Here is a 23,767-nt window from a genome sequence, read left to right as displayed (position 1 = left end):
TTTCAAACATGAGCTGGCTGATCGTGATCTGAAACCTCCAAAAGGGAAAATGAAAGGCCAGGTGTGCACGGTCACGTTTATGCCCCTGGCTGCAATCGCGTCCCCAAGCTGGACTCTGTAGACACCAGGCATGAGGGCTACATCCTCCCCATCCAGAAACCAACCCAAGGGGCTGTTCCGCTGTTTCTCTCCACTATGAGGCAAGACCCTGCAAGCATTCCTAACCACTTGATCTCAAGATACGGTGGAAAAGATCCAGGTGAGGGACCTTCACTTTTACCCAGTGAAGGCTGCAGATGGCACGCGCGGCCCGTCACACTGACATGGTGGAGGAAGGGATGCAGCGATCCCTCCGTCCACAGGGCAGGTCCAGGCCATCCTCTTCCGCAGCAGGTGCCAGTCAGCTCCGGGGTCCTGAGGACCCCTGGGTGTTGTGTGAGGACACCTGGGGCCAGGAGTCTTGGGGCAGGTGTGGCCCCTGCTTAAAGGTTCCTCCTTCCTCTAGGATCTCACTCCTCCAGCTGCTTCGAACAACAGCTCTCACGTGGTGAAGGACACCAGAGTTAACCCCAAGATACGTGGGTAGAGAGAGTCTGGAAACTGCTGTTTCTCCAGCAGTGGGTTTTCCTGAGGGCAAGAAAACAGACTTTCCCGCCCCGAGAGGATGGATGATGAAGCCAGACGCAGTCCTGTTCACGTCTGTTCTCTTCAAAATCCCAAGACCGGCCTGACCACAAGGCACCCAACAGGCGCCGCCACCCTTGGAGCGTCTGCTTTCCCCTGGGCAAAACCTTGAGAAGCCGTCAGCAGTGAAGGCCGAAGGCTGGACCGAGAGCCAGGCCCCCTGGGCTTTGTGGTCCTGGGCTGAGCGAGGCGCCTCGCACACACACACACACAATTAAATCTGTCTACAGATGCAGACACGGTCACAGGCGGCTAGAACTCGGCCCAGCCCCACGGAAGCACCAAGTCAGCACGGCTTTGTGACTCGTTTGCTCGGTCCTCGTTTATGACGCAGGTGCCGAGGACACAAATGTCAGGGAAGCTCCTGTCCCCGAGGAGCTCGGATCCCAGGGAGAGCCAGCTTCTCCGCAGGTTCAGCAGCCACCACCAAGCGGGGGCAGACCCGGCATGGGGGGAGGGGGCCCTGCCCGGTGCTCCCTGGGAGGGGGCACAGGGTGGGGTGGTGGGATGGGGTGGTGGTGGGTGCAGGGCCTGAAGCAGGTGGCGAGAAGTCAGGCAGGATAGGGGCAGAAGCTCAGGGCCAAGAGTGGCACCTGGGGCCTGAGAGCAGCTGATGCTGACCGGTGGGGAGGGATCCCGAGGAGAGAAGCGGGAGGCAGAGGTGTGATGGACAAGGAGAGTCTGGAGATGATGGCAGCTGGGGACTCAGGGACTTGGGGGGCAGGGAGGCCGTCTGGGCTTCTAGCCTGAATAGCTGGTGAAGTGACACAGGCAGCCGAATAGCAAATGGAGGAGGGGAGGCAAGTGCTGACGGTCCCAGGGGTGGGAGTACCACCGGGGAGGGAAGGGCGCTGGGGCAGGAGGAGCAGGGCCTGCATGGCCGTGGGCGTTACCCCTGCTGCTGCCGTGTCTGGCAGGATGGGCCTGAGGGAGGCTGCGAGTGGCCAGTGGTGAAAGGCTGGACCTGGACTCAGTTCCGGCACCTGCCGAGCTCGGTTCACGGGGATGGTGCCTTTACCCAGCAGCAGCGTGGGCAGCCTCCTCCGCACACAGGTTCCAAGCGAACAAAACAAACACGCGCCCACCTCACGCCCCGCAACCAGCTCGGGTAGAGCGCGGAGAGGCCCAGAGGCCGTGGAGCACCTGTCCGTGCTGGGGGAAGCTGCTGAGGACTGGGTGGACTTTACGTCGGCCACACATGCGGGGGAAGCAGTGAGCTGGCGGTCACACAGTGTGTCTCATCCCAGGCACTGGGCACTAAAGATAGGAAGGTCCCCGCCGCTGCCACACGGCTTCCACTCACGACACCGTGTCATCCACTGTAAATCGCCAGTATTAATAATAACGTGGAGTAGAGGTGGGGGCGGCGGCCCTAGGACAGGGGGAGCTGGGAGACCTTCCCTAAAGAGTGAAGGCTGCAAAGCCATGACCCAGGGCCGGGGCCGGGGCCGGGGCTGGGGCTGGACGGGCCACATGGCACCTCCAGGGCTGTCTCTGATGCTGCAGGGTGAGAGGTCAGCTGGGCCCTGGCACAGAGCGGGTGCCAGGCCGACACCCCTGACTGCAGCCCTCACTCCAGTCCCCACTGCCAGTCAGCACCACCCTCACCACGGCTCCACCTGCCATGTCTCTGCCTCACTCTAGTCTGCCCACCTGGACACAGAAGTGGGCCTGTCCCCACAGGAGTCAGTTCTGCTTTCTTTCTGCCATTTCTTTAATGAATGAAAAGTGAAGATGGTGACTGCGAAGAAAACACGGTTACCCTCTCCGGTCTCCACAGCATCACTTTCTCACTAGATGTGCTTTGATTTCCTTACATCATGATGGAAATGTCAGTAATGCTCTTCACTTTCTCAACAGGTGGGGCTGCATGGCCCCCAACAGGGACTTACATCCTACATTTCATCCGGGACGTCCCACAGCTTCCCAGCTCTGGTTCCAATGGCCGCTTGAGCCATCATTGTCCCTGCTGTGGAACCCCATGGGGACGACCTTTCAGGGCTCCGAGGAGATCCCAGGCATGGCTGGGGAGGAGGAGTGGGCTTCCTGTGAACCCCGCAGAGCCGGCTGGGGCAGCCCTGATGCTCAACTGAGTCCGGTTCATGCTGGGCTCCTGACCACCACGTTCACGATGGTGGCCCTCACAGATGTCCAAAAGCTTCTCGGTGGCCATACCGTGTCCCGTATCCTACCGTTGGCTGAAAGCTCGGAGAGGTTCACTTTAGGACGCCAGGAGCGACCCTCATGATGTAGCTTTCCCAAAGCGGGGGTTGCCATGAACAGGCCATGTGAGTCAGAGGCCACCAAGGCCCCTGGACAAGACTTGAAATTCTCAAAGTGCCACTGCTGCTTCCAGCTGGCCACGCACTAAAGACTCTGCCACCCGCACTCCGAGCTGGGGCCCTGTGCTCTGCCGGCCTGGCCTCCTCTCAGGGTGGGCTCTCAGCCTGCATGGCCCCTGACCAGTGCCCTGCTGTCCCCTGAAGGACCCTCCACAGGGAATCCACTGATGACTCAAGTTGGAACCTAGAAACACCACTGAGTACCTGCCGAAGACGCAGGGCCCTGTTCCATCTGTGAGGCGGGAAGCTCTGTGGTGGGACTCAGGAACCTGCATTGGGATGCCAGAGGGATGCTGTCACCAAGATGCAGCCCAGAGCCGTGCACCTGCCACATGAGAGTCTCACAGCGTCCTTGGGAGCCATTGCAGACAGTGAAGCGGGGTGGGCTGAACAGAAAGGTGAGCTGCACCCAGAACCTTACAACTCCATCCTTCTGGTCACAGTGCTAACTGTGGCTGCTCCAGGAGCCTCCAAAAATGATCCCAAATCATCTCAACTGGTGACAAAAGGCTGCCAACCGGTGGCGTTCCTGGCCAGTCTATCTACACGACTCATCTCCTCCATGCCCTCTGCCAATCCCAGGCCTTCTCCCACCACGTTACAAATGCAAATTACATGGCTGTAAAGACAGGGGGGGCCTCTCTTCTGAAGTGACCTGGAGTCACCAAGAGGCTGCCTTTCCAAAATAAACGTTCAGATTCCAGTCAAAGTCTTCCCTGGGGTCCTCGATGTGAGCAAGGGTGCATCTCCACAGCAGAGGTGACTGGGACCACCCATTTGGGGACCAGGTAAAGGGAAACCTCAGGAGGAGGCCTCGGGGGGGCGGTGAAGAGACCTGAATTCCAGAGAAGGACAGATGTGAAGCTGCACACAGACCTTTCATCTTGCAGCGAATCCATCACCTTGGTGAGGATGATGACTGTGCCCCTTCCCCTCTGCACCTGGCTGTGCCTGCAGGCCCTGAAGTCAGCACAGTGATGGGGGAGGTGGTGCCACGGGGTCCCTGCCAAAGTCTGCAGGTTCCTAAGCCCACCGTCTAACGTTGCAGACCCTTCACGGATTCCAGCAGTTTCCCACAATCTCAGGTTTCACAGCAATTCTGTCAGGCCCCCAGGGGAGGGGCCCCCCTCATTTCACAGACGTGTGGGGGGTTCTTGGGGATACCCAATGTGGAAGTTTGAGCCACGGACACCTGGGCCCCTACACAGCCCGGTGAAATCGGGGACACCGGGACCGCTGCACAGCCCGGTGAAATCGGGGACGCCTGGGCCCCTGCACAGCCCGGTGAAGTTGGGACCTGGGAGGGCGGAGCCGGCCCCACAGGATGGGGAAGAGCTGAAGGAGAGTCCTGAGGGAGCCTTAAAACCCGGGTCTCCTGCCCACCTAGCTGTCAGCTTGCCCCAGAGTCCTCACTGCCCCCCTGGGACTGAGGGCTCCACAGGCTCCCGGGGTCCCGTCCCCCCAGCTACCCACGGAGGCTGCAGAACTCAGGCAATGCCTGGGTGTGCACTCCGTTCTCACGACCAGCCCTGGACCCCTCGCTCCACAGTTCGCATGTTAGGAGTCCTGGGGGCTAGAGGCTCCTCCTCAGTCCCAGCATCCAGCACCCACCTGGCCATGTGGGTCTCCTGCTTGCCAGGGAGGGGACCACACCGACACTCTGCAGCCTGCAGCCCTGGGGACTGCATTTCTATTTTTGTGGTCAGCCGTGTCGGTCCCCGTGGCCACACATCCTGGGGCCTCCTACAGCCATGCCGGCACATCCTGCCTGGGCGGCCCGGGCCACCTTAACCCCTTCGGGGTCCCGGCTCTGTGAGGGTCATGCGGGCCACGCCCCTGGGCGGGAGTCTCCAGGGAGTGAGCCTGCCTGGGCTCCAGAGCCCCCTCTGGCCCAGCCCTCCCGCAGCATCCTATATAAGGGTCTGAAGCAAGGCCAGGGGCCCACAGCTGGGAGAAGAGCCACAGAGGGCCCACGGCAACCAAGCCAGGTCAAAAGGAGCTCCCAGGAGGAGTCCGCCCAGCCCGCGCTCCACGGCCTTCCCGCTGTCTGTTTGGGGACCTGTGGCCAAGGGGACCCTGGCCCGGGACAAGCAGGCAGATGAAAGATGCAGATGTGGGCCCGACCCCAGGCTACCCTCCCCTCCAGCACTGTCCCCAGCCACCAGGTGTGGGCCCGACCCCAGCCGGACCCCAGGCTACCCTTCCCTCCAGCCCTGTCCCTAGGCGCTGTCCTGGACACTGGCCCCCCATCGCTCTGGCAGGAAGGGGTGGGCAGAGCTCCCGGGGTGGTCCTACGAGGTGCCCAAGGGATCGTCGGCAGAAGCCCGTCCAGGGGGTGACACCTGCCGGGGTGTGAGGGCCCCCGTGACAATGCGGAGGGGCCCTGGGCGCCTGGACACTCGCGGGGTCTCCTCCACTGCCATTTCGAGCCCCCCAGGCGCCTCGAAGTTCCCAGCGCAGGACGCTGGGCAGGGGCCGCGGGGGCCGATCCCAGGCCGCCCTGACCGCGAGCCGGGTCCCAGCGCCTGTCCCCAGCCAGGCTAAGGGGGACGCGGGGGAGACGGCCCCGCTCCGGGAGCGACCGCGACGCTTCCTGCCCGGCTCCGCCCCGCGCCCCCTCCCGTCACCCCCGCGCCCCCTCCAGGCCCCCGCCCCGCGCGCACCTGCCGCCCGTGGTGCTGCCCTCCCGCGTCCGCCGAGCTCCGCGCCCCGCAGGTGTCCGCGCGTCCTGACGCCTCCTCCCAGGGCTGCGCCGACACTGGGCGGGGAGAGAGAAGGGGCGGGGCGGGGCGGGGGCGGGCCGGAGGGGGAGGGGCGGAGAGGGGCCCGGGGGCGGGGGCGGGGCGGGGGCCAGAGCCCAGAGCGGAGGGGGAAGGGCGGCGAGGCGGGGCGATGGGAACAGCCTGCCCCTCTCCCCCTCTCCCCCTCTCCCACCCATTGCTCTCCTCACCCATCCCCCTCTTCCCCCTCCTCCCCGCCGTGCCCGAGGCGGGGGAGGGGGCGACAGGGGGAGGTGTGACCGGGGCGGGCAGCGGGGCGGGGTCGTGCCTAATGGGTGCAGTTCCTGCCACCTGGGGTCACCCTCGGCCCCTTCCAGAGGGGAGAGGGCTGGACAAGGGGACGGGTCGGAGGTCTTCTGGGGCCCAGGCCTCACTTCCTTGGGCTCACATGTAAAACGGGGTCCCACCTGCCCCCCTGGATCCGAGCCAGCTGGCAGGGAAGTTGTGTCCACTCTGAAGCCCCACAGGGACCCAGCTGGGATCGCCCTAGCTGGGATCGCCCTAGCTGGACCCTTCCCTGCAGCTTCCCAGGAGAAAGCTGGGGCACGTGGGACAGGGCTGGGGCCGCTGGAATGTGGCCCAGCTGAGCTGACCAGCCTGTGACATCAGAGAAGTCACTAACAAACCCTTCTGGCCTGTGTTCTCATCTGTGCAGCCGTCCCAGAGCGTCCTGGGGTCCACGGGTTAGTGCACACAGAGCTCCCAGCATGCCAAAGAGCAGACAGATTACCAGTTAACTAGGTTAGCAGCAGAAATCAGGGCTGCCCCTGTTACGTATCAGAAGGGCTAGGGTTTCCCATGTTTAGGTCCTAGGGTAAAAAGGGACAAGAACCCACCTCACTCCTCAGTACTGGAGTGGGTAAGGAGCCGCTGGTCTGTGGGTCGCGGTACAGGACGCTGGCCCCTGTCAGCGCGGCCTCACTTTGGTACCTAACAGTGCAGCAGAAGTTGTTTGCAAAACAAACAAAACAAAACAAAAAAACTATAAAAGACCCCACCATTTAATTCTTGTGTCTCCAAGATTCAGTGGAAACTTATTGATAACTTAAAAACAAAGTAAAGTGGCATAAAAAGGTGAAATCATGGAAGATGTGGACCCAGCTATAGACTTTAGCACTTGCAGTTGGAGCTTTAAAATGTCTCCATTTAGTGGGTAAAAAGAGGAAGCCTGTTTGAATGAAATGAAAACAAAGCTCTGGCAGGAGGGAGGTAAACATTAACCAAGCAAGCAGCGGGAAGTGCAGTCCACCGCGCCGTGCCCACCTGAGGTCAGAACACTGGGAACAGGCATGTGATACACAGAGACAGACTGAGGTCCGGGAGGAGGGTGTGTGGGCCGGGAGGACGGTGCGTGGACCAAGCCTGGCTGCAGAATTTCTCCCGGGGGGAGCACGTGCGTTCAGGGACTGGATCCTTGCTCCTGCAAGCCCGCTCCCTGGAGCAGCAGCAGCATCGGTGACCGTGCAGAGACCCCGGGCCCCACTCAGACCCGCAGGGAGTGGCTCCACTGGGGAACCTGCCCTCCCCAGCGTGCAGAAACCCTGCAGAGACCTGTGCAGGGGACAGGAGAGGGGTCCAGGAAGGGCCAGAACCTGCCAGCATGGGCAGGAAAGGGGGAGGCTGGGCTCAGGGAAGGAGGAGGGATGATTTGAGAGGGACAGGAAATTAAACCCAAGGGAACTCCCTCAACCCAGTAACGTTTCTTCACATAATTAGCCACGGAGACAGGATTGTCACTAGCAATGCGTTCAGGAGCTTTGAGAATCGGAGTGGAACAGGCTTTCCTTCTCAAAGGTGCCTCAGTTAAAAAGGTCAGAGTGGGCCCACATGGTGTTTCTTACCTGTTTTTTGTTTGTTTGTCTTTTTGGAGACCAACGCCCCCTTTCTCATGTTGGCATAAGACCCTCTGGTAACATAGCACATTCTGTCAGACTGTCAGACAGGCTGAATTAAATATCATTTAATCGAGCAATAAAAGTCCAAAGGGAGGCTGCCCGTGGGAACCCGCCCTGAGGATCTCCTGCAGGACGTGCAAGCAGATGGCACCGTGGCTGCGGAAAAGGAGGGGACAGGCAGTGACCCCAGCCAGCCACGACCCCGCTCCACACATTCGTGCAGGGTGCAGGCTCACACCCACAGGCGCATGGACAGTGGGCACCACACTGGAACAGACTTTGCCAGGAAGCACGGATTCCCACCTGATACCCTGAAAGATGCCTCCACCTGCACACCGTGGACGGGCATGGAGCTGGCCCGCAGCCCTCAGGGGACAGACAGACAAGAAGCCAGAACGTCTTCTCCATGAAAGCTTTCCGCATTGGCAGCCAATGCAGCGAAAATACAGAGGACAAAACCCCAAGATGTGTGTGCTTCAGAAAAGGCTAGGGCTCATTCTAAAGTTGAGGCAATTCAAGAGGAAATTAATTCAGCCGAGGACAAAGGCCCAGAGCCGCGCATCAGAGGCTGCCCGCGGTGCCCTGCTGGGGCCAGGCTTGTTAGGGCCGGGCAAGCCCTTTGTGCTCCACCAGCTTTCACAGCCTCAGAAGCCCAGTGGGGCACAAGGAGACTACGTCACAAACAGGTTCCCCTGCGAGCACAGCAGGAGGAGCAGAGACCTCAGGGACAACTCCCGCCAGGGCGTCACTGCCTACCAGTGAGCAGATCCCGCAGGAGCTGAGGCTGCAGGGGAAAGCCGGTTGGCCGCCGCACTGTAGCACACCTGCAGCCTCGGCACACGTGTCTGGGCGCTGCACATGGAGGGGGGAGTACGGGCTGCCTCTGTGGATTCCACGTAAGCCGTGCGGCACTTACAGCGAGCTCAGGTAGCAGGCACCCGGGAAGCTGTGGTGCCCGTGCCTGTGACCCCAAAGGCTGGAATCCTTCCAGGGCATCTCCGTGTGGTCACTGTGTCCCATAAGCAGTTTAGGAAGGTTCATCTGCTTCCAAATTGTTCCAACGTCTCGACTTAGTGTTGGAAACTTTACCATTGGAGATTAAGCGCTTTATGTGAAAGCATCGCTCCCACAGAGATGTCTGTACGGGAAAGAAAAGGAGTGATCGTATCTCAGGTGGGAGACTCCTTTGTGCTCGCCTTACACAGCCGAGGAAGGTGGCGACAGTGTCCTCCCACCTACAGAGGAAAGACCACAGGGCCCCCTTGTAAACCTGTAGCCACCCTGGTTTGTCTCGGAATCTGCCCTTCTGTGTTGGACACGCCACAGGCAGACTTGGGCCTGGCGCCTCTGCAGTTCTGGGTGGCTGGAGGGAGCAGGGCAGGGCTACGCTGGCCTCCTCCAGCCCCCAAATCTGCACAAACCCTGCCTAGACAAGACAGCGGTACTGTCCCTCCCTCACCCCCTCCTCCAGAACGAAAGTGCCGAGGTCTTGGCTTCTCACTGCCCAGGTGCCGTCGGGCTCGGCCTCATGGGCTCCAGCTGTATGGGAAGGGCTTCCTGCCAGCCCTTGTCCCGAAACCTCTGACCAGGGTGGTCTGGCTGGCTACAACCAGGCACCCAGCACCTGGAATCCTCACTGGGAAGCTGAGCCGGGCAGGGGCCCTGAGTCTGTGTCCAGCCAGCCCCATGGTCACTGCGTCCTTCCTGCACCCCAGGCCCCATGCTGGACACAGGGCTCGGCCCAGAGCGAGGCAAAGTCTCTCACTTCTTGGAGCTTATGTCTCAGTAAAAATACATAAAATAGGTTAATGTACACAGACACAGCCTCAAATCGGGGTGAGATTCATGCTGTGAAGGCAAAGAACGCAGACCACGAGGGCAGGTGGGGTGGTGGCCTGCGCCGGGGCCCGCTGAGAAGCAGAGACAGACAGGACCCAGCCGTCCCACGAGGGCCCAGAAGCCGTCCACAGATCGGGAGGCAGATGAGGGTGTGTACGGAGACAGAGACAACAAATATAGCCACCTTTTGGGGAGAATTTTGCTGAAACAAGGAGGTGAGAAACAAGAGCTGAGCCGGGTTTCTGTTTGAGACTCTTCTGCTGCCCCGATGGCTTGGCCGGCAGAAAGACAGTGATGCCGCCACAGAGACGGTGAGAGGTCACCCGGCCGCCACAGCCCGCTCCTTCCCCCAGGGCGACGGTGAGGGGTCACCTGCCCGCCACGGCCTGCTCTTCTCTTTTAGAGTAACCACTGATGTCTTAAGAAGTCAGGAAGCCTTGTGAGATGAGTGAGATGCTGACTTTAGCCCCGTGTTGGTGCGTGCTGCCTCGGCTCATCCTCTGCGGGGCGGCTTGCCTGTTGCTGTGTGTCTGGCTCTGCCTTGCTCTGAGCAGGGTCCCCGGGTGGCTTCCTGGATGCCTTTGCGGGTTGGGGACGACCCGGACCCTCTCGGTCCATTGCAGTCACCCAGGTTGAGCCACTCAGAACCGATGGCAAGCGAGCTCCCCTGGTGTGTTCCAGGTTGTCATCCAAGGAGCAGCCATGGCCTCAAACACCCCTCCAACCCCACCCCACCGCCGCACAGGCCCGGATCCACCCCGCAGGCCGCGGCTGCTCCCAGGTGTGACTGCCCTGAAGCCGGATGAGGCATTTCCATGGCCCCCCAGAACGGAGTGTTGGGGGTTGAATTGTGTCTTCCAAAAAGAGATGTCGGAGTGCTAACTCCCAGTGCCTCAGAATGTGGCCTTGGTTGGAGATGGGGTCTTTACAGAGGCGACCGAGCTAAAAGGAGGTCAGTGGGGCGGGCCCTGACCCCAGCGCCGCATGGAGAGCGCCCAGAGGAGATGCAGGTGGAGGACAGGGTGGTGCTGCCACACCTGGGGAGACCCCGGGGTGTTGGTGCACAGACGAGCCTCCGCAGGGCGCTCACAGGAAGCACGCATGTCACCCACGCTTTTGAGATAGGCACATGGCTCTTCCTCTCCCAGCAAACAACTTTTAATTCCAACTTTTATTTCTTCTCCAGGCTCCATCCTCCTCCCTCTCTCTTGGCCCCAGGTGCTGCTGGAATGTCCCCTTTGCTGGGACACTGGAGGACACCTGAACAAACCAGCCTCCCTGTCAGAGCCTGGAGGCTGCCCCAAGCCAGCATCTGTGGCTCCACATGAGCTGAGAACCATTTTATGCCGGCCTCGCTCTCCCTCCAGCCCTTCTGGGCTTGGCTGGCCTTGCCCCGTCCCCTGAGCCCTCCCAGCAATCCTGTCCCAGGTGAGAGTATGAGGCTGGCATGGAACAGCCCTCAGTTGATGTGGGGGAGCAGCGGATGCCCTGGGCAGGCTGGTGGATGCCAGAACACCCTGAGGACACCTGAGGACACCCGGAGGACACCTGAGGATGCCCCGAGGACGCCCTGAGGACACCTCTCGAGACACCGGGAAGGGGCTCCTGTGGGTTCTGTCCCTGCGTCCCTCCCACACCTGGGCCCGTTCACTGGCAGGCCACACGCTATGCTGTTGTGGAAAGCAGTCGTCAGGACAGGCTGCACGAGGTGAGCGGGTTCACTGCGCGTGCAAAGGACCGGCAGCCTCCTCAGGACAGGGCCAGTCCTCGTCCACCTCAGGACCCGCCACTGAGCAAGTGCGCCACAGGCCACGTGGGCGGCTCTGGGAGCCCCAGCATCAGCGCGGGGCACGCAGCGCCACACGAGCCACGCCTTCCTCCATCCTCACCGCTGCAGGCACACAGACACTCCCATTCAGGTCCACAGGCGGCATCATCTGCTGTGGGGGCCTCGGGTGGCCTGTGTGGTTGATGATGTTTGCTAAACACCCACAGAGGCCCCCAGTGACCTAGCATCTGCAGTTAAGAAAAGATCTTTGGCACGGGACAGATGGGCCAGTGTGGAGGGCAAGCTTGCATCCCCCTCTGGCTTCCCCAGGAGGCCCTGATGGGCAGGGAGGGCCAGGCTTCCTCCTCCTTGGGCAGTGGGCAGGGTCACTGGGCATCTCGCTTTCAGGATTCATGTCTTCTGTCTGGAGAGCAGGGGGAGGTGAAGCGAGTTTGGGTCACTCATTAGGGCCAGGCCTTCCCACCCTAGTGCCGCCCCCTGGGACCAGCCTGCTCTGCCCCTCCCCTCTTCTCCCCATGACCCGCAAAATCACAGCATTATCTGTTTTCCTGCTACAAGAGGAAGAGACAGCTGTACGGAAGATGGCTTCAGGGTTACGAGCTGGAAAGGTAAAGGTAAGCCCACATGAAGATGCTGAGAATCCAGGGAACGAGAGGAAAGCATTTCGGAGAGAATCCAGGGCAGCTGTAGGTTCATTCACCCCACAGATGCCTTCGGAGCACTGCCTGTGAAAAGTACCCCCGACTTTGTGGCGTTCAGGAGCCAGAAAAAGTCCCATGTTTAGAATTCCAGCCTGCGAGCCAGGGGCCCTCTGTCCCCTCCCGGGGTGTTTCCCACGTGGCCCTGAGCTGAGACTCCATGGGAAGCAGGTGGCTGAGCAGGGAGAGGAGATGTAGCCAGGCGGGACTCAGGCACCAGCCACCAGGGATGCTCTAGGATCCACCCCAAGGCCCCTCTCCGGGTGCCCCAATGGAGCTGGGATCCCAGAAGTTGGGACCTGGTGGTGTTTTGAAGTTGGTGTTTCCAGACAAGACACAAAACTGCAGAGTATGACACGGCCGGGCTGGGTGGAACTCGAGAGAGGGTGAGGTCAGGGTTGGGACAAGGCCACGGCCTCCAAGGCCAGGGGGCATTCCGGGGGCTCCGTGGCAGCACCCAGAATTCTGCCAGGGCTGGGAGTGGCAGGGGGCAGGGAATGCCCTCTACTTCAGAGTGGGAAAGGCTGGGTTCAGCCAACAGAGCCCAGGAGGCTGAAGGGCCTGGAGGAGCCTGGGGTTTGGTCAAGAGGGAAAATTGGGATGGAAAGGGGGCACCTAGACCCCAAGCACGAGGTGGCAGGCAGGAGCTTGGCAGAGGTCAGGGAGGAGCTTGTGGTGGGGATGGACCAGAAGGTTGGGAAACCCAGTGGTGTTTCCGGTTCTGTGCAGGCACTGGCATCCAGGGCAGTCAGCACCAGGGCCCTGCACCTGGCACACCTGGTATCCCTGCAGGGGGTGGCAGCCGAGGGAACAGCCAGGGAGGGCCCACATCACCCACTGGGCTTGCCACCTCCATCCCGCACAGAAGCACGCTGCGAAGTGTTCTGACTGCACAGTTTCTCAGAGCAGAAAATGTACACACCACTTGTGTGAGTTTCTTTATAAAGAAACTGAAGCAGACTTTTATTCTTTATTGCAAGCAGATTCAGGTCTCCTGCTTAGATAATCTAGAGAAAAGTCCAATATAATATTATCCAGTCAGTTTATCTACAGAAATAAAAGTTAAAAACAGAAGCATACAAAATAAACTTTACTGAAATGTTAGATTGGTTTAATTAACAATTTAATTTTTCAAAGCTGATTAATGAATTATCAGTTAAATGTTACTGTGTGGAGACTGATTTATGTTAATGCACCTACTATGTTTAATAATTTAAAAATAAACTCCAGTATTTATGATGATGACAACTATGGATACCATTCATGTTAAATACATTTTTGAAGACCTTCTTTTATTACATTACATAATGAACAGACATTTTAAATGGTGACGCAGACATTATAATTTTAAGTCAGACACAATATATGCATATTAAAATTCTGTATACTTTGATAAAGTAAAAAATAAAGCTATATAAATTGATCTTTAGATTTTTCTGCAAAAGTAGAATCACACTTTCATGACACTTCTAACATATCCCATCAAGGCTGCTTATAGACACAACATCAGAAAGATTTTCATTCCAGTTCACCCACCTTTAGCTTAAAAAAAAAAAAGATTGCATTTGCCAACTGATATTTTTCCTGTTTTTAAAGTTACAAATGGGTAACTTCCTAAAGAAATGTAGGATGCAAGGACCTGCATATCAAGCTGTTAGACACTGAGTTGTCAAATAAATAATACTAACATTAAATAAGAGTGGTTGTATTATTCAGTACTAGTCAGTGCAAAACACATGAGCTGAGTGGTTTGAAGAACAAGGCTGGAGGTTTCCCGCGACAGCACCGGACCCCTGGCCAAGGCTCAACTCAGGGGAGTCCCCACAGCCTGTCTAAACATTTGTTTAAACGCTCAGCAAGCCGAGCGGATGGTCACCCTGTTGGAGACGCTGGCCGCATCTGGCCTCCTCCCTCGAGACGGTGTGGCCTGCTTGTTCGCCCTGTCTGCTCAGACACAGGCTGGGTTGACTGGGGCTTTAGGCGGCCGCGGCCCTTCCCAGCTGGCTCGTGGCGGAAGGCTGGCCGTGCTCCGACGCGTGCACGGATGAGGTGCGGCGTGGGTGTGGCCAGTCCTGCTGTGGCCGCCTGGTATAGGGCTGAGCCGAGGGGAGGTTTCAGCTTGCGAGGCTGGACCTCCCTAAAGGGGAAGGGCCTTGTCCAGGGCACCAAGCCTTGCTCACAGAGCAGCTGGTGTAAGTGAAGCTGCGACTTCACCCCCGGGGCCTGCTCTGCAAAGCCCAGACATTCTGCCAGGAGGGGGACTCTTCATCCCAGGGAGGCATGGGCTGGGGGCCAGGGAGCCCATCTTCCCATGCCCATCCAGAGGCCTCTCACAGGGGCCCCTCAGCAAGGAGGCAGGATGCAGTGCAGGACACCAGGACAGTGTGCACTTGTTTGTGGCACATGTGTGTATATGTGTGTGCATGTGTGTATTCACGCCTGCAGGAGCCTGCGCATGTGTTTGTGGTGCGTACATGTGCATGTGTACGTGTGGGAGCTCACGTGTGGGAGACGTGTGTTTACATGTCTGGGAGCTCGTTTGTGGTGTACACGTGTGTGCATGTGTGTAGGAGCCTGTGCGTGTTTGGGGTGTGTCCATGTGCATCTGTGTGTACGTGTGGGAGCTCACATGTGTACGATGTGTGCACGTGTGTTTACACGTCTGGGAACTCATTTGTGGTGTACACATGAATGTGCACGTGTGCAGGAGGCTGCACGTTTGTAGTGAATGTACGTGTGCGTGTGTGTGTGCATGTGTGCAGTAGAAGCTCATACGTCTCTCTGCTGTGCATACACGTGTGTGAGAGCAAGCCTGTAGGAGCTTGTACATGTGTGCTTACCTGTACATGCATGTGTGTATCACACGTCCGTGTGTAGGAACTTACGCTGTTCATGATATGTGCATATGTATTGTGTAGGAGCATGCACACGCGTGTCTGTGGTATGTGTACACGTGCATGTTCTGCATGTCTGTAGGTCACACATGCTTTGGTGCATGTACACGTGTGTGTGTGTATGCGTGTAGGAGCTCACACTTGTGTACACGTTTGTGTGCATGCATGTGTGCAGGAGCTTGCACGTTTGTGGTGGGTACATGTACATATGTGAGTGATCCTGTGTGCAAGCCCCCATGTGGACATGGCTATGAGTGAGCGTGGAGCCAAAAGCCAGGTAACACGCATGCAGCAGGCCCACTGTGCGTGTCTGAGACGGTCTGTGGCAGGGACTGGGTGTGAATCATGCAGCAGGCCCACTGTGCGTGTCTGAGACGGTCTGTGGCAGGGACTGGGTGTGAATCATGCAGCAGGCCCACTGTGCGTGTCTGAGACGGTCTGTGGCAGGGACTGGGTGTGAATCAGTGACCGTGTCTCTGACCAACATGCTGAATTACAAATTGATAATTTATTAACCTGTGCAGCAACAAATAAGATTTTTCAAAACTCAACAAAGTGCTCAAAGTTGACATTACTTGCTTCAAAGTTAGTTTAAGGCAAGTAAATACTAACTACTGCGAGGTGGAAAATTGCATGAAGACCCTGCAACGTCATTCACTGAGGATCTTCTCATCCTTTTCTTTTTTATCTCGTGCCCCTTGTCTATTTCAAATCATCAGGCACATTCATTTAATAATTTCCCAAGCAATTTTTAAAAAGACGTTTGGGAGTGTGTAAAAGTTTAGTGACTTTCACACTAAAACTTGTTGTCAGAGGTACATGGTGACTATCTCCACACAGGCAGAGCTGGGACCCAACTTACTAAACCTTCACGTGAGAATCTTCTATTTTTAAGGCTGAAGGATGGCAATTAACAATGAAACATAGAAAGCAGATGAAATTGCAACAAATTGTAAAGAAAAAGTGTAGCAAATTATCGTGCCTTAAATGTGCTGTTCAACTAATCACTGCCACCAGAAATACCAAGAAAAGAAGAGGTGTGTGTAGAGAATAAAATCAAATCTGAAAATTCGCATTCATCAGAGATTGGAACATTCAGTCAAAACTCTCACCAGAATCTAAATGTAAAGTGGCCAAAATTTCATAAACTTAAAAATGAAAGCTTTAAAAACCTATTTTTAAAATTAGACAGTATGTTAAATAAATGAATAAAAGAGATATAAACAGCTATGAAAATACTTCAGTGCAAAGGCAATTTTAAGATTTCTAAAAAAATACATTACAAATAATTTGTTAACTGAACATACAGAGAATCTGCCCCCGCTACAGGTGTTACATTTATGCCCATATTGGGTTCCTAAAAAGGGCTGTAAAAACGCACACACCATTGTTTGCGGGGGCAGCGTGGGCAGGGCTGCCAAGCCAGGGCGGCCACACAAGGACCTCAGGGCAGGGTGGCCCTGGGGACGCCTGCGGCTGGCCCCTCGGGACAGAGTGGAGTCTTCCCCGTTCTGTCTGCTCAAGCCAGTTGCTCGCTACCCTCATCTTTGGTGTGATGTTTGTCACCTTATTTTATCCCAACCACTGTGTTCACTGTTCTTACCGCTGATTTACCCTCTACTTCAAATAAATATTTTATAGGTAAAAGATTATACAATCAAATGGTGAAATCTGAGCTTCCAAAAATACCTACTGTCGAGCACCTCGGAAACACCCTCTGGGTTTCACTTGCCGGAGCCCCGTTCCACAGCGTGGCGCGGGGCGGGCGTGAGGGCCGGCTCCTCCTCCAGCGTTGGTGGTGCTTTCCTGAAAGGCAGCAGTTTCAGCGTCTGAAGTCTGAATCTCACACTGAAATGTCTTCTTTAAGGACCATTAAGGCTATGTCAAATATTATTTCTAGAAATAGAAATGCCAGTACGGAGAACAACAGGGACTTCCTATCACAGCAGCCCTGGGGTTGCTAACCCACCCAGAGCAGCGCTGGACAGATCCTAAGACGAAGGAGAGCCCTGCGTGGGGACATGGGGACGAGGGTATGTGGGGACGGGACAAGGGGACGAGAGGACGTGGGGATGAGGAGACGAGGGGACGTGGGGACGAGGTGACAGGACAAGGGGACATGAGGACGAGGTGACGGGGCAAGGGGATGTGGGGACGAGGTGACGGGATGAGGGGACGTGGGGATGGGACGAGGGGACGTGGGGACGCAGAGCCCGGCGGGCGGAGCTGCAGTGCGGGAGGCGGGCAGAGGTGCGGTGCTGCCTGTTGGGATCCACCCGTGTCCTGTGTGCCACCCCCGTCAGCCCGAGACAGGTTCTGGTGCACGAACACCACCTTGGTGTTGACCCCTCCACGGGGACAGAGGATGTCTGCTCATCACAGCCAAGTATCTGTCTCCCGGCCCTCGCACCCGCGAAATCAACATTCTCCCGTAACAGTGGACTGACGGCTCCGTGCCCTGGCGAGTGGCTGATGGACATCCTGGCACTTCTGCGGCAGGGCTGGAAGCTGCCGGCGTGGCCTTGTCCTCCCACGTGGCACTGCCTTCTCCACGAGGCGGCCGGTGATGGGGAGACCGAAACTCAGCCAGCCCCAACACACAGGGCAGGCGGGCTTGGACGTAACCGCAGGGAAACCACTCCCAGATGAGCAGGGTACGGCGGTGCATCCGCAGGGATGATGGTATCCGAGTGACCCGGCCCTTCCCACAGCATCCGGATTGGAGGGTTGTTGAGTAAAGGACGCACCACCATGGCTCCACCTCACCCTATGGAGGGCATGGGTGGTGGCCGGGCAAGCAGGAAACAGCAGCATGTGGCATCCACATGTGGGCCACCATGGGTCCCTGGACGGCTCTTCTCTCCCAGTGACAGCAAAGGCCAATGATGGCAGGTGGGTGAAGACACAGGCCTGGGGGAATGGCCTCTGCATGACAGCGCGCAGGGTGGGCCAGCAGAATGTCCCTCCTGCGTTGAGCCGAATGCCCAGAGGCCACTGGTGTGGCTCAACAACCACAGTGCTGGGTCCAGGCGGCCAGGGTGCCATGCTCGAGGGCAAGGCCTGTGACCCCCCTCCTTGCCTGCTGGGGGCCAGGAAGAGGCACGTGCACAGTCTCCACAGGCTTAGGACCATCCATCACACGAGCATTCCCACACGGGACCTAGGGCAGCTGTGACTTGGGATGGAACTGCAGTGGTGATGGGAACCGCCGAGGATGGGTGGGGGCTCCGTGGACACCTTCTCCTTCCAGGCCGCGAGTGTCACCTGCTGAGAGTGGGAGCTGTACCAGGCGGCCGAGGGACAGGTGCTCTGGTAGCCTGGGCTCTGCAGAGAGGCAAGAGGGGTGAATTCTGAGTCGCGGTCCCGAGGCTGTGCGCACCCATTCTGCTGAGAGAACGAGACACATGGTCAGTCTCAGGGATACCCACGGGGCTGCCTGGGGTGACCTGAGCCACTCTGGGATGCACTCACTACCATCGCCTCCTGCAGGAACTGCTAGACTCAACTCAGGACACACCCTCGTCCTGAGGGCAGGCCGGGCGGGATCCACCCCACCAGAGAAGCCATATGGAGGCGAGGGGTCTCTGTCTAGGAATGAGGGCCTCTCCTTTTCAGTACCAACAGAGTGACCGTCCCCCTGTCCCACCATCCCAGGGAAGAACCCAGGGGCCCCAGGGATACAGGCCATGGACGGGAAACCTACGAGCTTCCTCCCTGTAGCTGGCTTCCTGTGCAGTGAGCTCGAACGCCATACCGGTACCCAGAGACCCTTGAACAAAAGGCGAACTCACTGCCCCAGGGAAGGCAGGCCCCACCCCACAGGGACCGGGTTGATTTAGTACTGGACGTGCCCAGCTTGCATCCCCTTGACATGTTGCCTAGGATGTCACCATACGGATGGGGCCTGCATGGCTTCTGACAGCCCACTGGGGCCCCGGATGTGCACGGGCCCTGTGGGTCTGACCAGCAAGGGGAGCGGCAGGAGGCCGGCAGCACGCATCTGTCTGATGAGGGGCCGTCCCCAGGTCAGCCCACTTTTAGACCAGGGGGCAGCGGCGGATGCTGGCAGGAGCAGATGTCTTCATGGCCTCCATGTCTGTTGGAGAGGCGACAAGCTATGTGCTCCGGCTGGCACACAGAAGACCTGCACTCACACCTGCCTGGGCCCCAGTTCCACACAAACCATGCAATAACCACGTTTGATTTCAAAGCACGGTCCTTCCTGATGGGCCTTTTAAGTGAAGCTGTGTCCCCCGAAAGACCAGGATCGTGAGCCTGTGTCTGACGATGCTGGGTCTGGTCAGGCTGTGTGCCGTGCGTGTGGGGTGAGTGTGCACACGTGTGTGTGCACAGCATGTTCCATGTGTGGTCAGCTTGCCCTCAGGCGTGTTACTTACCTGGGACAGCAAATGCATGTGTGTGTAAAGAGGGCTGCTCTTTCTCACCGTGAACCTTTGTTATCAAAGACAGCACAGCACAGCACAACTTTGGAGGAAAAACGGGTCTGACAGTCACAGCACACGGGCGGCGTCCAGCAGCCGCACAGTTACCTAGCGTGGAGCTAACTGCGCCTTGGCCGCCGTAGGAGGTCCTTCAGGAGGGGCCCATCGCTGCTCTGTGCGGCCTGGACTGGAGCCTTGTGCTTCACACCCCTCTGCAAGGCGAGGAAAGATACTGAGCGACGTGGGCCACACGGGGCCACCAGGAGTGCTCGGGCCTCTGCCTGCACCATCCGTGGGACCCCAGCAGGAAGAGGCTCGAAGCCCCTGTTGGAGTCTGCATGGGGTGTCATGGAGCTGCCAGGGCGAGGGCTTGGGGCGTCTTGGGAAAACACTGTCCCAGCAGGGCCGCTCCCATGAGGGGCCCGAGCCCAGAACTGAGACAGCGACAGGCTCAGGGACGGGCCATGCACCCGCGGGAGGCAGAGGGTCTGAGGTCCCTCGGCTGGAAGGTCTACCAGGCACCGCTGGAATCCTGAAGCCACACGTTCAGCCACACGCCCACTTCCACGGCAGACAGCGAGCTCCAGTAACCGCTCTACCAGGGCCCTGCGACGGACTTTCCTGAGTCCAGCGTGCTCACAGAACTCCACTGAGATCTTGTAGCCCAGCCTTATTCAAGGAATAAGGGAAGCACAGGAGCTGAAGAACTGCGGGCTTGGAATTGCACAATTGCACGTCTGAATGGGCAAACGCCCAGGTGAGGAGAAGTAGGAAACAGAGGATGAGGCTGCCACCCTTCCTGGGGACAGTGACGGAGAAGTGAACTGCATGCAGATACGCAGAGATGCCAGCACGGGCATATATGTGCAAATCGCACATATATAACATATACATCTGAGGCCTGTGATGCTTTTCTTTTCCGTAGGAACAGGTTAAAAGAAAGCCATCCACTGGAAGTAACATATGCCCCACGTGAGGACTAGTGACACGTTTATTCCTCCAAAGTTTTGCAGAACGCAGGTGGTCTCGGCGCCACGGCGTGTTCCCGTGTGCGCCGGGCATGTGCTGGCTGCAGGCGCTTTCTGTTCAAGTGTGGACGCCGGCCCTGTCTGTGGGGGTCATGCCGGGGCCCAAGGCCTCGCAGGGGGCAGGAGAAACTCCGTGCCACTGTCTCTACGCAGCCGGGCTCAGCTTCCGTACATGCTCAGAAGCAAATCAGCTCTCAACAAACTACATGAATCGTTAGAATGCTTATTTTTAGCTCAGAGTTGGCATGATTTAATCAGTTTCTTAAGGACCTCTTATGAGTCATTAAAATGTTCCTAATAATTTCATCCTAAATGTCTTCAAGTACAGAAATGGTGAGATGAAATTCTGCAATTTAATCTAACAAATTCTGATGACACTAAATTAGAAAACTGTTGATTCTGATTAATTGCTTGGACTTAAAAAAGGACCATTTTGTCAGTTAAAAATCCTGTTTAAAATATATAGAAGATGATGTTATTAAAGGGAAAAGAAGCCTTTTTCTGCTTTGGGCATTTTTCTAAGCTGCATTTGGTAAAACAGTAATACCAAGTATGCATTTTCAAAGCATCACTGATTTGGAGGCATGCGTGAAGGCGGTATTTGGTGCAGGAGCACACGGCTAAAAGACAGAACGCGACTTCAGGACGGCGTGCAGGCCCCTGCAATCTCGGCTCTTATCATGGACACCACCGCAGAAAAATGGCGTGTGAACGCCTCTACATTGCCCAGAAAGGCCAAGGTCGTCATTTTTAAAGCAAATTATTAATAGAAGGCTTTTTTGAAAAACAATGAGGTTTTCATTTAAAAAACAGTAAAAAGGGAATTTGGTCAAACATTTGACACCAAACACTTCCGTCCCCTCTTTGTCTCCAGTTGTGTGGCTCAGCCTGGCTCCCCTTTTCTGAAATGTGCATGGGTCCTGAGCAAACCGTGTTATCCTAGCTGCCCTCAGTCTTTCCAGCTGCAGAATGGGCACAGAAGTGGGTGCGTGAGGGAGGAGGCCTTGTGATCCACGCTCTACAGGCTGCAGAGGGAAGGGTGTGTGAGCTCAGAGCCTGGATGACCTGTGAATTGCAAACTCTCACACCTTCCTGCTTAGGAACCCCTCTGACACCTGTGTGAGGGGTCATGTGGCCAGCTCTCCGCTGTCAGCTGTGTCTGAACCCTCACACAGGTGGGTTCTGAGGCTGCACGGACGCTGAGGGAGAAACCCTGGTTAACTGTGACTGATGGAAAGCACAGCCCATGATCAGTCTGTGCATGAGAAGGTGTAAGTGGTGGCGGGACTTCCCGACGTGAGGCTGCTGTACCCAGCGCCTGGTGGACGCTGCGTCAGAGCACGTGGACTCAGGGCTCTGGTGATGGGCATGGCCCTGCTGCCCCGTGTCTACCATCCCAGGTGCGTGGAAGGCAGAGGAGCATCACCTTGTTCCATCAGAAACTCAGGCTGCTGGAAGTCTGAGAAAGCATAAAGATGGTTGACTGCTCGACAGAAAGGCACTGGCTCTTAGTCTTAGTCCCGAGGTCAGCGGCCACGCACACAGGGGTGTGTGAACAAGGTGTGAGGATTTAGGCAAAGCGGTCGGAAGACGGAAGGAAATGGGAAGGAAAGAGAAACAAGAGACAGAGCTGAGTTAGTCAGAGGCTCGCCACCACGTGCAAGTTCTTCTGGTCACTCTGGGCGGACACTGGTGCCCCCCACCGTGACCCGCCAGCCCCTCCCACCCCCTGCTTTATGCCTTCTGCAGGTCCCGCTGTGTAGCTGTTCATAAGCATTCCCGGGGCTCTTGTGGGACGCAGAGACCCACAGCAATACAGGGGCTTCTAAACAAAGGGTGGGACGGGGAGGGTCCTCACTGGCATTCCCAAAGTGCCCACCCATCCTGGAGATGAGTTGCAGAGCAGAGGGCCTGTGGTCAGACACATCCGGGGGCGTGGCCCTCGGCAGCCCCGACTCTGGAGGCTGCGTGCACAGTGCATGGAAGAGCCCAGACTCCTGCGGGGAGAGGCCCTCCTAACCCCCCGAGTTCAACTCCTGCCTGCTCAGGCATCTTTGACCAAGCACCTCTGCAGCCACATGCACCCAGGGGCCAGGTGGGGCTGAGACTCGTGCAAACCCCAAGCCACACCACTGTGGCCACAGCTAGGGGCCCAGCAGACACCCCCAAGCTGCACCTGCTCTCTCTCGGGGTCAGACCCCCAGCCCTGCTGTCTCTTCTGTGCCTGATGTCCTTGTTACATGTGTGTCTGCCACGTCCCCATGTATGGGATGTGGTTATGAACACGTGTCCCATGCACAGAGCCCTGTCATGAACACGTGTGCCCGCTGTGGAACTGCACAGCTAAAGAGCTCAGTAACCAAGGACCGTGCTTAGAGAAAACCACCACTGGACAGCTGCTTCTCGGGCCACAGGCAGGGCTGGGCAGTGAGTGGCTGCTTGGGGCCGGTGAGTTTCCCCTGAAGCACTGGGGGCCGCGGAGTCTCAGCCAGGGCCCCGGCTCCTGCTCCCACTGTCTCCCCTCCTGCACAGAGGCCCCTCAGTGGGACCTTCTTATAAGCAGCCAACTGGCACGTTCTGCTGCGTTTCTCCTGCCTGTGGCCCCCGAGTCAGTGGAGCTGTGTGTGGACATTTTCACTACATTGAGAGGCAGTCTCTTCACCACGAGTTTTGCTCGCTCTGATTTTACAAACTGTGGCAGGAGGCATGAAGGAGGGAGTGCCGGGAACTGGTGGCATCGGTTTCAACATTTCAAATCGGCACCAATGTCCCAAGAAAGCTCTCAAGCCAGGGTCCCATTCTGATTGTTGGAGGTGGGTGGTGGGTGAGGCTGTGCCCCCCAAGGGAGGGCAACCTGTCTTCCCTCCCAGCACAGCAGCACCGCTGGGAGCCAGCCCCCGGGTGTCTGAGCTACGTGAGTGAGTCAGGGCTGGGGCCCCGGCCCCCACTCACTCCCCGTCTTCCTCCCACCTGGGGAGCCTCACACCCTGCAGGAGCAGCCACTGCCAGGGGCCCCCACCCCTCATTTCCCCATTGGGCTTCAGCACTGCCCAGTCCAGGGCTCCACCTCAAGGAGTGATTGGAAATTTCGGGGATGAAACTTGAAAACTTGCATTGTTAATAGAGTCCTGAGGGACCGTGACAGGTGCAGCGGCCCTCTGAGGACAGGCAGGCTTCCCAGTAAAGCAGCAGAGGTGGGTCGTGGTCACTGCCTCTGATTTAGGGTTGAGCTTGAAGGCAGAGGCCAGCTGCTGAAAAGGATGGGGGACCGGGAGCTAAGTCCTCACACCTGCCAAACCCTGCACCTGGGGGGACACTCGGCATCGTCACGTCTTCCCTGGACCCAGAATTCTGCTTGTGCCTAAAACTTGGGAGT

General features: G+C 57.6%; 2 protein-coding genes across 16 annotated transcripts in view, besides 15 other annotated features; both read right to left on the bottom strand.

The window, feature by feature from the left end:
- The window catches only part of MCF2L (MCF.2 cell line derived transforming sequence like), a 205,408-nt gene extending 199,622 nt beyond the window's left edge, over window positions 1–5,786 (bottom strand). For all 4 annotated transcript variants that reach the window (NM_001438391.1, NM_001438392.1, NM_001438393.1 and 1 more), the window contains exon 1: window positions 5,690–5,786. The gene's annotated coding sequence lies outside the window, so the exon portion shown is untranslated. The remainder of the gene's footprint in view (window positions 1–5,689) is intronic.
- Window positions 1,647–2,152: an enhancer, noted in NCBI's record as "H3K27ac-H3K4me1 hESC enhancer chr13:113552283-113552788 (GRCh37/hg19 assembly coordinates)". NCBI's record gives its function as "activates a minimal SCP1, AML or CMV promoter by ChIP-STARR-seq in naive and primed H9 embryonic stem cells {active_cell/tissue: H9 hESC(naive and primed)}" and the evidence as "EXISTENCE:reporter gene assay evidence [ECO:0000049][PMID:30033119]".
- Window positions 7,595–8,344: an enhancer, noted in NCBI's record as "H3K27ac-H3K4me1 hESC enhancer chr13:113546091-113546840 (GRCh37/hg19 assembly coordinates)". NCBI's record gives its function as "activates a minimal SCP1, AML or CMV promoter by ChIP-STARR-seq in primed H9 embryonic stem cells {active_cell/tissue: H9 hESC(primed)}" and the evidence as "EXISTENCE:reporter gene assay evidence [ECO:0000049][PMID:30033119]".
- Window positions 10,864–11,008: an enhancer, noted in NCBI's record as "145 bp 13:113543499 sequence used in MPRA reporter constructs". NCBI's record gives its function as "activates a minimal TATA-containing promoter with rs1278772 allelic activity by MPRAs in C283T melanocytes {active_cell/tissue: C283T}" and the evidence as "EXISTENCE:reporter gene assay evidence [ECO:0000049][PMID:36423637]".
- Window position 10,936: a transcriptional cis regulatory region, noted in NCBI's record as "rs1278772 or 13:113543499 MPRA-significant variant associated with a GWAS melanoma risk locus at 13q34". NCBI's record gives its function as "allelic transcriptional activity by MPRAs in C283T melanocytes {active_cell/tissue: C283T}" and the evidence as "EXISTENCE:reporter gene assay evidence [ECO:0000049][PMID:36423637]".
- Window positions 12,953–23,767, bottom strand: part of ATP11A (ATPase phospholipid transporting 11A) — a 197,131-nt gene continuing 186,316 nt past the window's right edge. For 2 of the 12 annotated variants that reach the window (NM_001405661.1, XM_047430218.1), the window contains exon 29: window positions 12,953–18,308. In NM_001405661.1, coding sequence (NP_001392590.1) covers window positions 18,057–18,308 — 252 coding nt within the window. In that variant the 3' untranslated portion in view covers window positions 12,953–18,056. Of the gene's footprint in view, window positions 18,309–19,471; window positions 19,576–20,614; window positions 23,643–23,767 lie in introns of those variants that run through there. The other 10 variants (NM_015205.3, XM_011537480.3, NM_001405663.1 and 7 more) reach the window with 10 other exon arrangements.
- Window positions 13,467–14,042: an enhancer, noted in NCBI's record as "H3K4me1 hESC enhancer chr13:113540393-113540968 (GRCh37/hg19 assembly coordinates)". NCBI's record gives its function as "activates a minimal SCP1, AML or CMV promoter by ChIP-STARR-seq in naive H9 embryonic stem cells {active_cell/tissue: H9 hESC(naive)}" and the evidence as "EXISTENCE:reporter gene assay evidence [ECO:0000049][PMID:30033119]".
- Window positions 14,469–14,613: an enhancer, noted in NCBI's record as "145 bp 13:113539894 sequence used in MPRA reporter constructs". NCBI's record gives its function as "activates a minimal TATA-containing promoter with rs1046793 allelic activity by MPRAs in C283T melanocytes and UACC903 melanoma cells {active_cell/tissue: C283T | UACC903}" and the evidence as "EXISTENCE:reporter gene assay evidence [ECO:0000049][PMID:36423637]".
- Window position 14,541: a transcriptional cis regulatory region, noted in NCBI's record as "rs1046793 or 13:113539894 MPRA-significant variant associated with a GWAS melanoma risk locus at 13q34". NCBI's record gives its function as "allelic transcriptional activity by MPRAs in C283T melanocytes and UACC903 melanoma cells {active_cell/tissue: C283T | UACC903}" and the evidence as "EXISTENCE:reporter gene assay evidence [ECO:0000049][PMID:36423637]".
- Window positions 16,915–17,059: an enhancer, noted in NCBI's record as "145 bp 13:113537448 sequence used in MPRA reporter constructs". NCBI's record gives its function as "activates a minimal TATA-containing promoter with rs3742233 allelic activity by MPRAs in C283T melanocytes {active_cell/tissue: C283T}" and the evidence as "EXISTENCE:reporter gene assay evidence [ECO:0000049][PMID:36423637]".
- Window position 16,987: a transcriptional cis regulatory region, noted in NCBI's record as "rs3742233 or 13:113537448 MPRA-significant variant associated with a GWAS melanoma risk locus at 13q34". NCBI's record gives its function as "allelic transcriptional activity by MPRAs in C283T melanocytes {active_cell/tissue: C283T}" and the evidence as "EXISTENCE:reporter gene assay evidence [ECO:0000049][PMID:36423637]".
- Window positions 18,231–18,375: an enhancer, noted in NCBI's record as "145 bp 13:113536132 sequence used in MPRA reporter constructs". NCBI's record gives its function as "activates a minimal TATA-containing promoter with rs1290177 allelic activity by MPRAs in C283T melanocytes {active_cell/tissue: C283T}" and the evidence as "EXISTENCE:reporter gene assay evidence [ECO:0000049][PMID:36423637]".
- Window position 18,303: a transcriptional cis regulatory region, noted in NCBI's record as "rs1290177 or 13:113536132 MPRA-significant variant associated with a GWAS melanoma risk locus at 13q34". NCBI's record gives its function as "allelic transcriptional activity by MPRAs in C283T melanocytes {active_cell/tissue: C283T}" and the evidence as "EXISTENCE:reporter gene assay evidence [ECO:0000049][PMID:36423637]".
- Window positions 19,456–19,600: an enhancer, noted in NCBI's record as "145 bp 13:113534907 sequence used in MPRA reporter constructs". NCBI's record gives its function as "activates a minimal TATA-containing promoter with rs9577174 allelic activity by MPRAs in C283T melanocytes {active_cell/tissue: C283T}" and the evidence as "EXISTENCE:reporter gene assay evidence [ECO:0000049][PMID:36423637]".
- Window position 19,528: a transcriptional cis regulatory region, noted in NCBI's record as "rs9577174 or 13:113534907 MPRA-significant variant associated with a GWAS melanoma risk locus at 13q34". NCBI's record gives its function as "allelic transcriptional activity by MPRAs in C283T melanocytes {active_cell/tissue: C283T}" and the evidence as "EXISTENCE:reporter gene assay evidence [ECO:0000049][PMID:36423637]".
- Window positions 20,712–20,856: an enhancer, noted in NCBI's record as "145 bp 13:113533651 sequence used in MPRA reporter constructs". NCBI's record gives its function as "activates a minimal TATA-containing promoter with rs1765871 allelic activity by MPRAs in C283T melanocytes {active_cell/tissue: C283T}" and the evidence as "EXISTENCE:reporter gene assay evidence [ECO:0000049][PMID:36423637]".
- Window position 20,784: a transcriptional cis regulatory region, noted in NCBI's record as "rs1765871 or 13:113533651 MPRA-significant variant associated with a GWAS melanoma risk locus at 13q34". NCBI's record gives its function as "allelic transcriptional activity by MPRAs in C283T melanocytes {active_cell/tissue: C283T}" and the evidence as "EXISTENCE:reporter gene assay evidence [ECO:0000049][PMID:36423637]".

This window comes from Homo sapiens, chromosome 13 (genome assembly GCF_000001405.40).
Source record: "Homo sapiens chromosome 13, GRCh38.p14 Primary Assembly".
NCBI classification, from domain to species: Eukaryota; Metazoa; Chordata; class Mammalia; order Primates; family Hominidae; genus Homo; species Homo sapiens.
The sequence above is the reverse complement of the archived record's forward strand: the minus strand, read 5'-3'. Positions and strand labels throughout refer to the sequence as shown.